General features: G+C 38.2%; 1 long non-coding RNA gene across 1 annotated transcript in view, besides 2 other annotated features; it reads right to left on the minus strand.

Moving 5' to 3' along the window:
* Positions 4912-5413: an enhancer, noted in NCBI's record as "NANOG hESC enhancer chr21:36743463-36743964 (GRCh37/hg19 assembly coordinates)". NCBI's record gives its function as "activates a minimal SCP1, AML or CMV promoter by ChIP-STARR-seq in primed H9 embryonic stem cells {active_cell/tissue: H9 hESC(primed)}" and the evidence as "EXISTENCE:reporter gene assay evidence [ECO:0000049][PMID:30033119]".
* Positions 6254-12028, minus strand: part of LOC100506403 (uncharacterized) — a 208258-nt gene continuing 202483 nt past the window's right edge. The window contains exon 3 of the long non-coding RNA NR_073512.1: positions 6254-6540. This is a non-coding gene — a long non-coding RNA (uncharacterized LOC100506403). The remainder of the gene's footprint in view (positions 6541-12028) is intronic.
* Positions 11278-11572: a silencer, noted in NCBI's record as "tiled region #14404; K562 Repressive non-DNase unmatched - State 23:Low". NCBI's record gives its function as "represses a minimal TATA promoter and a strong SV40 promoter by Sharpr-MPRA in K562 cells {active_cell/tissue: K562}" and the evidence as "EXISTENCE:reporter gene assay evidence [ECO:0000049][PMID:27701403]".

Consider the following 12028-nt stretch of genomic DNA (forward strand, 5'->3'; position numbering starts at 1 on the left):
AATTTTATTGTAGATCAAGAATCTTTTTGATGACAAAATGTTTACTTTTACCTAAAAGAGAATTATGATGAAGTTATTGCATCTTAAGTTAGGTATAAAAATTATCTCTATATTTACACTGCTTAGGAGAAAAGTAATTTGAAAATGTAGGGTGGAGATGAGTGAGTTAAATGTACCAACAGTATTTTAGCTGTCTCACTGCAGAGACATTCCAAAATCTTGCAGCACAAGAAATACTTTGAAAGTCGGCCTTAAACTTAATCCCATAGGAGTGGGGCTTGGCAAACAAGTCAGCATCTTTCTTGTAACCCTAAGAAGTTCACAGATTCCAGTAAGCTTCCATGCATTTTGCAATCCAGATTCTACTCCATGAATCTTTCGAGTTTATGAAATTTCCTAATACATCCTACAAACGCTCTCACTGCCGTCTGTCTCTCAATCATAGAAGTACCATATCAATTTATAGTCTCCAAAAGTCAATAAAGCCTCCCCTCCCCCAAGTAATGGGGAGAAGGATCTGGAATCACTTTATGAAGTGTACTTAATAATAATATGACAACAACATGCCACGTTATCACAGCTCAAACTAAGCTGAGACAGCCTGGTCAGTACTTGGCTATCTTTGAAACAAAATCACATTCTTCAGGAAGTGGTGTTGGTAACTCAATAAGCAGCAGCTGTTCCTGGGTCTTTGAAAAAAATGTTTCATCATTTGACCAGTATTCAGTATCCAGCATTATGTCCCATTATAACTGATGGCCAACATGGAAAACCTCTGGGCAAATAAATACATGAAAATAAAAATTGCTCTTAATCTGAGGATCCCATCTCAATTTAAATGTACTCTGTTCACATCAATTTCTCTGTAATGTTAATTTGCACTTATTACCCAGAAATTCCATACACATAAAATGATTGCTTCATTCCTTCCAATCTTTATAATGAGCACTCCATCCCTGTGCCATTTAAAAGCTTTCTAAAGACCCTTTTAAAAGGAAAGGTGATATCACTGAATGTAATGTTTATTTACAAGACAGTATGATCCCAGGCTTCCAGATGCTCGGTATAAATAAGAACCCAGAAACATGCGCTGCATTTAATAGAAATTTGAGCCCATCAATTTTACATGATCCTACCAAGAAGAGTGTAGAATGCTAATGATGCTAATGAGAACTTGATGTTGACAGAAGATTCATTTATAAATAAAAATGTCCAGAAAGATTATTACATCAAAGGATGGTTTGTCAATATCCACCCCACAGTAGGCCTATCAAGATGATCAACCGCAGTTTCAATAACAATAATAAAAACAATTATGATTCTCTGTACTAATGTAGCACTTTTCATCAGTGGACCGAAAAAGATCTGTATTAAATGATCTTCAGAGCCCTTGACCACCTGGGCTTGAAGTATCCCCTTGGAGGAAGAATCTAAATCAACATCGTGTTCATTATTATGCTGAAATGGCTTTAGCAATCCTTGCTCAGCCAGTGGCATCTCACACTGTGTGCACCACACCCACATGACAAACAGAAGAGTCCTCTGGAAAGGAGAGAGGGTGGCAAAATCCAGCTTGTGCTTCCAGTCCGATTCTTTCCTATGCCTTACTTCCCCCAAAATACCTATGGAGCTGAGACGTTCAGGGTTTATACAGTCCATATATAATTATTAAAATGTATACATTATGCTTTAAAGTTAGTAGGGGTCTCTACTCATTTTTAAGGAAAAACAAAAAGCTATGTTTTTTAATCGAGCTTGAGTAGTAGAAATACACATGGAAGGACAATTCATAAACTACTGTGTATTCTCTTCTATTTTGACAGGTTACGGCTGTCACAAACTTTGGTATGATATTAGAAAAAATTTAATTTATTGCCGCTTGTCATAAAGATGCCAACTCTGCCAGCCTCTGATACAATTTGGATGTAAATATTTAGTGACAGATGAGGAAACTCACTCAGAGAGCTTCCTAGGTCAGATTTTCACCATTCTCCTTTAACAAAGGCAGAGATGATCTTGGGCAGGCTGATAGGACAGCAAGTAATCCTCTGGCAGGAATGGAAATGAAGACAAGTATGAGGCATGGTTGAAGAAAATGAATAAATAGGGAAAAGGGGACTCAAAGACATAATAACTGCTTCAGGTGTGCAGAGGGCCATGATATGAAAGAAGTAGATGCTTGATCATTACCATCCTGAAGAGGCAGAGCCAAGGCCAGTATGAGGACACCCACTGGTGGACGTTTCACTTCCCAGTGACGAAGCAAAAGTCATGACTATTCAACAGAGTTGAATCATCAGGAACAAGAAAGGAGAGAAGGTATAGGTGTGCTCACTATGTACTCACTAATTCCACAAACATTTGCTAAGCATGTATTCAGTGTTGGGCACCATGCAAGACGCTGTAGATACAATGGTGAGGAAAGACAAATATGGCATGTCTTATCTTGGATCTGGTGGTCTGGTGAGGATTCTGGGCATCACACACATCAATGCAGAGCCCCAGCTTCAGCGCATCCTGTTAAGGGGCAGTGGGTGGACTGTGGGGCTGTGAGGCTGACCTAGTGTTGAGTTCAGAGAAGCTTCCCTAAGACAGAAACACTTGAGATGAGATCAAACTAAGAGGAGAAATAAGGCAAGTTAAAAAGCACAGGGAACAAAAAGGATTCCAGAGAGAGTTAGAAATTCCAGTTTGAGAAAACGGAAGAAACAGGAAGGGGTAAAAGAGCCCTTTCAGGTCACATTTGGGAATTTTGCCTTCTTTTAGGAAAAAACATAAAGTCATTAAAGATGGTGCTGTGGTTTGACCGTGTACCCCACAAAGAATTTATTGGAAACGGTAATCCCCGATGCAACCATGTTGGGAGATGGGGCCTAATGGGAGGTGTTTAGGTCGTGAGAACTCCACCCTCATGAATGTATCAAAGCTGAATATACCAGGGCTCAGGGCTGGGAGTTCAATCTCTTGCTATCTCTGGTCACTGTCTTGCCCATCCACCTCCCTCCATGGGATGACAGCACCAAAGCTGGGGAGGCATCTTTTTGAGAAGTAAAGGGGTGGTGACCTGGTCACATTGCTACTTTGAAAAAGTCAAATTAGGTATAGGATGGAAAGTGGATGGAACAGGCCAAGGTCTATCCAAGGAAGCAGAAGGGGTCTGCCCTAATGTCAGATGCTCCTGGATCTAGAATAACTTTTGCTTCATGCACTTACTAATTTAGTCAGTGTTCAACATGTTAAATGATATTTTGAAAGTAGAAATTAGATTTTATGGCATCAAAATAACTTGTTAGTGTCTCTGATATTACTGCTGTGGTTGCCAACAATATTTCCTTTAGACTTCAGGAATATTATTCTGTGTTCTTAGCAATGTCAAGATAATGTAATTGAAATATGTCATAAGTTATTCTATTAATTATCAAAATAATCAAAAGGAAAGACAGCATTTATTGATACCATTTATTGTCTTATCCAGTTGTATGCCAGATTTCAGAAAACAGCAGAATGAAGTTAACCTGAAGAATTAGTTGTTTGAAAAACCTGCAAAACTTAGCATGAACTTAAATTTTCTCACCTCTGTAAGTTACATTATTTCTTGTGATGACACGTACTTAATACACAAATGAAGCGAGCCCATGATAGCTTTTACACAGATATTACAAATAAATGTGTTTATAAAGATTTTATGGAACAGTATGGAGAAGTAAAGGAGTTGCTATAACTCAAAGGTATTTTCTATAAGTGTCCAGAAAGCAATGTCAATAATTTCCTAGGGCTGGTGGTTAAATCAATGTGAGTGAATGTTATTATTCCCTCGTAGAAATATGTTATGCTTTCTACAAAGAACATGTATGCAAAGCTATTCCTAATTATTTATTTATTTATTTTTTAACAGTGGTTTATTTTGTGGCTTAACCCAGTCACTTACAACAAACTAAATGAGCTAAGGATGAGTTTTTGTTATATATATGCATGTATGTTTACTTATAGGTTAAGCCTTTGTTGTGGGTGGAGGGTGGGGATATGTGGGAGGAAACTAAAGTAAAGGAACATGATGAATCCCACTTAGAATCAGAAGAAAGGGATGTAAACTTTTAGAGAGGGCTATGGTTGAACAGAATAATACAATGCAGTATTCTCGTTTTGCACGCGCTTTGCCATGGTATGAGTCTAGTTTGACATCTGACATTTTGACAAAATGAAAAACAAAAACAAAAATATTAGCCAACAACAAAAACACATACATACACTACTGGGATTATCCCGTTAGGGGATAAAGCTTTCAGTTGTGCAATAGGGATTGAGTGCTTAAGAATAACAGACACACAAGAGCGTGGGCACGTTTCCCACCTTCCATCCACACTGTGAGAACAGACACAGAAACACACCTGGAGGCCCCTGGGCTGCAGGGGGAACCCATGAAAGGAGGATACTGTCTTCCTTAGAGATCTCCAAATTGTGTGCTCAAATTCTTCAATCCATTCCCTCATACATTCATTCATCATTTATTTAACAAATATCTATCAATCATCTCCAGCATGCCAGGCCCTGTTTCAATGATTCTGACACATGCCACGGGGTGAATGAATGAAGCAGATGGCACTGCGCCCATTTTACAGGTATGGAAAGGGACAATAAAGGACCAAGGGGTGACAAAGTGGAAACTGAGGCCAGGGTCCCAGGTATCTTGCTCAATATTTGTTTGCTTTGGTTTAGTTTAGAACAGTGATATTTTAACCACGGGTGATTTTGGCTTCCGAAGGGCCAGGGTTTCTGCTACAGTGCACAGAACAGCCCCAACAACAAAGAATGATCAGGAGCAAAATGTTGATAGTGCTGCTATTTAGAAACCCTGGTTCAGGGAAACCACTTGGAAACTTCAGTGGATGATCCAGAATTTATTTTTGCCTATCTGGGTAATAGGAAAAGTTAAAAAAAAAAAATGAATTTCTTCTAAGCTGTTGACACAGCCATGTGATTCTTTCATAAATGAGTTTCAATCTAAGTTCTAATTTTTGAAAAGAGGTGTTTACTTGGCAAACTTCACTTGCATTTAAAAAAAAATTCTACAGTGTGACTATCCATTGCCACCACAAGCAGCAGCACTTTTACCTGTCAGAGATGGCGTCTCAGTGTGTAGTTACAGAATGCACAGAACAGAGGACGTCTCACTGCTGTATCAGGACACTCAATCCATGTGTGGTTTCCCAGGTGAAACTGTAGCCCTCCTGCTGTAAAAGTCACCCGCTTAATGAGGTGTATTTACCCTGTATTAGTAAGAATCTGTAGTTCAAAAATGCTGTATTTGGGGCAAAAATCAACATCTCTGAATTCAAGTACCCTCGCCCCCTCTCTCAGCAAGAAGTTTGTGTGAAGAGACAGCTGGAAATTCTAGCCCTTAAGATGTTAAACAAAAATAGGGATAAATTTACTGTGTTTACACGGCATCTTTAGTTTCCAAATGTGTTTATTCTAATATCCCTGGGAGATAAACTGGGGCAAGACTCGACATCACTACTTACTGAACCGGGTGCAGGGCAGGGTGCTTAGATGTAAAGACAAAGTGGCTTACCTCTACGGCTTCCTGGCCAGGACAACACTGGCTTTGTTATTTACCTCCCTATCAAAGTCATAGTCACGCCCTTAGATCATGACTGTAAGCGTTTCAGAAGGCTGAATGGTTCTAAATCCTATAGTTATATAATTTTGAAAATCAGTTATAGCTATGTTTTTGCTCTTCAAATCTCCTTCATTTAAGTAAAGGCCCCACTGGGAAATTTTTAGATTGCCTGTTAAGAAAAACCTTGTCCAAGAACAATTGTTCTATCAAAATTCATGATATCAAAGAAAAGTGTAAACTAGAATATCTTAATTTCTTTCAAGGCATCCAATCTAGTTTTCTCTGAACAACAAAATGGAAAACCTCAGTCTTCAAAAACCTCATGGACTTTTCTCAGCTTTTCCACCAACACACTGGACTCCATTCTCTCTGCTGTCTAATTGCATCTGATAAACATATTTATGTAGGCAAAGAATGAGCCCATTTGAGTTTCTATCTTTGTTTTCCCACAGGGAGACGCACAAAGATGTTCGGTCCTTTCCTTCTGAAGGCTGGACAGTTCTGTGTGACGCACACACATATTTCTAAGCGTTTTGCAGCACTGTGACATTGCTTAATGCAACTCACAGGGGTGTGAAGGGCTGAAAAGACCTTTGAGGTGAGTACATGTGATGAAACAACACAGAGAAAAAGTGTAGCAGGGACTAATTTATTTACGGTAAAACAGTTCCTATTTCTTTACCTTCAGTCACTCTAATCATGTTGAAGTGAGGTTCAAAGAGAAAGAAATGGAGCCTGGACCACACCATGAGAGCCTGGAAGGAAAGGTGTAGCCCTGAGCTCATCCTCTGCAGAGGGGAACAGGCTTCTCAGGCCAAGGTAGATGACAAGGAGAGCTGGCCTCCACCAGAAACTGCCAAAAGCTGTAAGAAGCTCCTATCTGGCTCTAGGCCCTTCATAACCAGACGTTGATTTAGACCCTAGGAAGAAGACAATGTGATAGGATTCATATAATTTATATAATTAATAATTATGTAATAATTATTATTTATCTTATATATTTATATAAGCATATATTATAATTAACTATATAATTTATATGATTAATTGTATTAAATATTCATATAAAAATGGGCTTTTAATATATTGAATACATATCAATATACCATTTTGATATCATATATAAATTATAAATTGCATTGTATAATTATATATTATACTTAATTATATAATTTATATAATTATATTAACTATTAATATAAAAATTGTGCTTTTAATATATGGATTACATATCAATATAGCATACTGATATAAAAATTAATCCCTCAATTTAATTCCATTCATTTATCACCCACAATCATTTATTGAGCACCTGAAAGCCTGAGTTGAGTACCTCCATGCACTTATGGAGCACTCAGTCCCTTCCTGGCACCATTCTGTATACTGAGGACATGGAGATGAAAATGCACAGCCCCCCACCCCCTGTGCTCTCACAGTGGCTCGCAGCCCGTTGCACAAACTGAAGCATAAATAAGTCATTACAAGGTGAGGGGAGCCACAACAGAGGTGTAGGCAGAACAAGACACAGCATAAACAAGGGCCTACAAACTCCACCAAGAAGTGATGGATGACATTCTCAAGCATGACAATGAGTGCGATATTTGGCGAGGGTGGGTACTCTGGGTGAGCAGAGATAACTTGGAAAAAAGTATCTGAGTCAACGGCACAACAATTTACAAAGGGGTCCTCCAGGAAGTATGCTATGCAAAGTATGGAACAAATGAAGAAAGATGTTGCCTCCAGGGGACTTTCTAGCTCCTATTTTTAAAAGGATGTGTGTTTTTAACTCCTTGAGATTAGCAGCATATGAAATGCACACCAATTACCCATACTTTTGATTGATTGCCTTTAATCCTCCACTCCTCTTATATGTGGTTACAAATCCTGCAAAATTTTGATGAAATCTCCTAAAATGATAAAGCAGTGATGCCAACAGATACATAGCCTAATGATATGCAGAAGCAGAAGATAACATAGAATTAGTGAACACAGAAATGGAAAAGTCTCAATCTCACTATTAATTAAAAGTATGCATTTAAAAAAACAGTAACTTTCTGTTTATTGTATTATCACATATTTTGCACAGTGATCATGTCTAATCCTGGGAAGCATCGAGTGAATCTATATATTTACATGTGGCAATTGTACTATATGTCTTTAGACCATTGACCTCAAAAGAAAGGAAAAAAGAAAACCTCTATGCACAAAGATGTTCACGTCAGTATTATTTATGAAATTAATAACAAAAATAGAGAAGCAAATGAAACTTCCAAAATTAATAAGAGTGTTAAATCACTGTACATTTTTAGATGAGTCATGGTATTATTCTTAATATTAACATTTATAATTATTAAAGCTCCTGTCACATGGAAACACTTTCAACATAATGATTATCAAAAAGTGTTAGAAAATGACATGTATACTATGGTTTCAACTGTATAAGATATTTATTTACATAGACGAGAATCAGAAGGAAATATCAAAATAACAGTTAATATTACATAAACACTTTTTTGTTATCTTGAATACTCAGACTTTCTGCTAATACTTTTTAAGCAGTCCTAATAAGACTAGAATTTGGATCATTTAATAAACCCCATAGTAAGGAAACAATATGCGTAGCACTTCTACAAAAGTCTTAGACACACACGCACACCTTCATGTTAAGGTGAAAAATGTACAAGCATATGAAATTAAGAAAAAATTGCCTCATATGGATGGGAGTGAAGATTCATTCCAAATTTTGCCTTGAGTAGATTTGCAAGTTGTCATTACAGTGCCTTCTCTTATTTATCAGTCTGAGCACAATGGCAGAACTCGGTCATCTAAATTATCCATTTACCTTGTATATGGAATTAAGAGCTCTGTGTTAGGGAGCTCCAAATGTCAAGAGGCAGAGTCATGCCGGGGATTGATTCTGTAGATTAGAACATCTCCACCAAGGCATTTGGCCTGTGAGATGTCTAAGTAGATTAATTGAAGTAGAAATGCATTATTTATTATTTAACACTTAGTGAAAGCAGTCAGCAAGCTAGGTTTAATAATGATTTCTTTTAGACACTCACCGATGCATAAGAATTAGGTAAACATGACCCAATCATTACTTGAGAGGTTTATCAGGTTTCAAATCAGAACTTCTTTTTTTTTAAAGAGGCAATTAGCATTGTGATATTCCTCTTGCCTATTAGAAAAGATAAGTTTTATGATATCTATGGGATCTCTAAGAATTAGGCCTATTTAGACAAGGAATGAGAGAGGACTTTTACACTGTTGACAGAGGTCCATTCAGTCAGGGCTATGTTTCTGATCCCTGTAGATAAGTCTAGAAGACAGGAACACACTAACTGGCCTCAACATTCCTAATGGTGACTACTAATTATTTCAGAATTGGAGGAAGACTTGCCTTCCTGTTACAGCTGCCTGGATTGCTGGAGTCTGATTCATACCTAGCCATGTAAGGGAAAGCTCATCTTCTGCCTGGACAGTGTCTTGGCACTCCTGGATGCCTGGCCCCTTGGTGTGTGCTCCCCATAATGCATAAGTTGCGTCATATTTCTGGAGTCACTTCACCCAGCACAGACTGATCTGAATCTTCTTCTTTTTCAGTGAAGTCAGCCTTTGACCAGAGAATCCCTAAGCCATGGATTCTTTCTGGCTTTGGAAGATGGGACAGAAGATGTAGATGGTTAACCATCCCCCAAGGATGGAGGATCTCACTACCCTTCACACCCAGGGATGACCTCATCATTAGCTCTAATATGAAGTCTAATGCTTCCAGTTGCATAAGTTGGGGCAAAGTACTTACTCTCTCTAGGGTTCACATTTTTCATGGTAAATGATGTCTATGATAGAGGGGTTACTGCTGGGACTAAAGACAGAAAACAGGCCAACGGCATTCTCCAGTGGCTTACAGACAAGCAGTGCCTGATGTATTTTGGGTCCTCCATATCACTTTTTAAAAAAATTATGGTAAGAACACTTAACATGAGATCTGCCCACTTAAGAAATGTCTAAGTGTACAACACAGTATTGTTATCTATAGGTACAACGTTGTACCGCAGATCTATAGAACTTGCTCGTCTTGCCTAACTGCAACTTTATGCCCTTTGAATAGCAACACATCAATTTCCTCCCACTCTCAACCCCCGGCAACCACCTTTCTACTCTCGCTCCTGTGAGTTTGACTATTTTAGATGCCTCATGCTACATTTGTCTTTCTGTAACTGGCTTATTTCACTAAACACAGTGTCATCCAGGTTCATCCATTCTGCTGCATATTTCATGGTTTCCTTTTTTGTTCAGGCTGAATAATATTCTATTGTATGAATATACCATATTTTCTTTATCCATTTTTTTTTTTTTTTTTGTGAGATAGAGCCTCACTCTGTCAACCCAGGCTGGAGAGTAGTGGTATGATCTCGGCTCACTGAAACCTCTGCCTACTGGGTTCAAGCAATTCTCCTGCCTCAGCCTCCTAAGTAGCTGAAACTACAAGTGCACACCACCACATCCAGCTAATCTTTGTATTTTTAGTAGAGATGAGGTTTCACCATGTTGGCCAGGCTAGTCTCAAACTCCTGACCTCAGGTGATCCACCCATCTCGACCTCCCAAAGTTCTGGAATTACAGGCATGAGCCACCACGCCCGGCTTCCTTCCACTCTTTCAGCAATGGACATTTAGGTTATCTCTATACCTTGGCTATTGTGAGTAGTGATGCAATGAACACGGGAGAGCAAATATCTCTCTGAGGTCTTGATTTTGATGATTTTGGATAAATACCCAGAAGTGGGATTGCTTCCACTGGTAGTTCTATTTTTAATTTTTTTCGTTGTCCTCCACAGATTTCTCTAACACATGCTTCTAACTTCAAATTTCTTTACTCATAGCACGGATTCCAGTACCGATCCACTCTCAATGCTGCCCATTTCTGTATTTTTCTGACAATTTCCAAGTATTTTATGAATAAGTATCTCTTTTCTTGGCTAATGGATAGAACTGAAATTGCTTTATAACTACCAGTGGTGACTGTGATGGGAAGGATGACAGCTGATGCTAAAAAATTAACACTGAACTTCAGAGTGGTAGCAAAAAAATGAGGGTTATTTCAGAAACCACAATTTATAAACAACAGACTTCCTAACAGGCTAGAACAATAAGAAAGTAAAATTGTGGATCCCCATCCTTTCAGTGTTGGTTTGTTTTTGTTTTATTATAATTATATAATAAATATTACACTTTCATTTTATATACAGAAATGTGAATATTTAAATTTTATTATAATAGAATCTTTAATAAAATCAACAAATATAGTACACTGGAACAAATACACCTATCTCAGAAAACACATTGAGGGCAGAAAGAATATTCACTTATAAGTGCAATCAGTGCCTTCAATTATAGTTGAGTTCCAAAGATATAAAATGTAAAATGTAACTATATCATATATGATGGTTTGCTTCCTGTGAAATCCACTCATTAATACCTTAAAGGCCTTCCCGTGATCCTGTTTAATAATATATTCTTAAAAGGGTGTTATTCTCTGCAACACACATTTTTAATTCTGGATATTTAAAAAAACAAACTCAACATTTTTCTTGGCATTTTTTGCAAATGAATTGGAGTTCATTCAGACATTCAATTCAGTAAAAACAAAAAACACATACATTTCTGCAGAGCCACAGTTGAAGAGCATGGGCTTAGGAGAGCAGACCCCCGGGTCTGGTCCCAGTTCTCCTGCCCCTCCCCAGCTTACTGTGTCACCTTGGCTGTCCCAAGATGTGAGTTCCTCCTTGGAGATGCAGTTCACAGCCAGAGTGATCGCTAAGCTTCCTCCCTGCATTAAAATTCTATTATTCTAAGTCTTTCTCACTTCTCTGGAATTTCCTGTGATATGGATGCTTGCAATTATTACACCTCTGACAATTGATGCCAATAAAAAAGCATCTACAACATCGGACAATGAATTTCTTATGTTTTTATTCCATACAAAATCATGTAGTTAGGTTCAGAAATAAAATATTCATCACACATTTTGTGGTAGGCTGGTCTTGCTCCACGGGATGAAAACATATGTCGCAAGAGGGAACAGGTTTGCCTAAGGACCCATATGAACGAATTCAAAAAGAACCTAAACTCCCAACCATGCCTATCTCTCATACATGAGCTTTCTCTCATTACCAACCAACGTAAATATCAAAAGTTGATCAATGTAGAAGACTTTTATTACACATTGTTCCCACAAACTACTGTGACCCACATGCTTAGGACCCCAAAAGCGGTGTTCTCACTTGCATCCACTGGGTACACACTGGGGAAGTCTCTGGGACCAGGTGGCAAATAAGACTTTTGGAAGTCTTTTCCCTGCAAGAAAGTGATGGCAGGATAGTGCAATGACTGGAGGCAGACA

This window comes from Homo sapiens, chromosome 21 (assembly GCF_000001405.40).
Source record: "Homo sapiens chromosome 21, GRCh38.p14 Primary Assembly".
Lineage (NCBI taxonomy): Eukaryota > Metazoa > Chordata > Mammalia > Primates > Hominidae > Homo > Homo sapiens.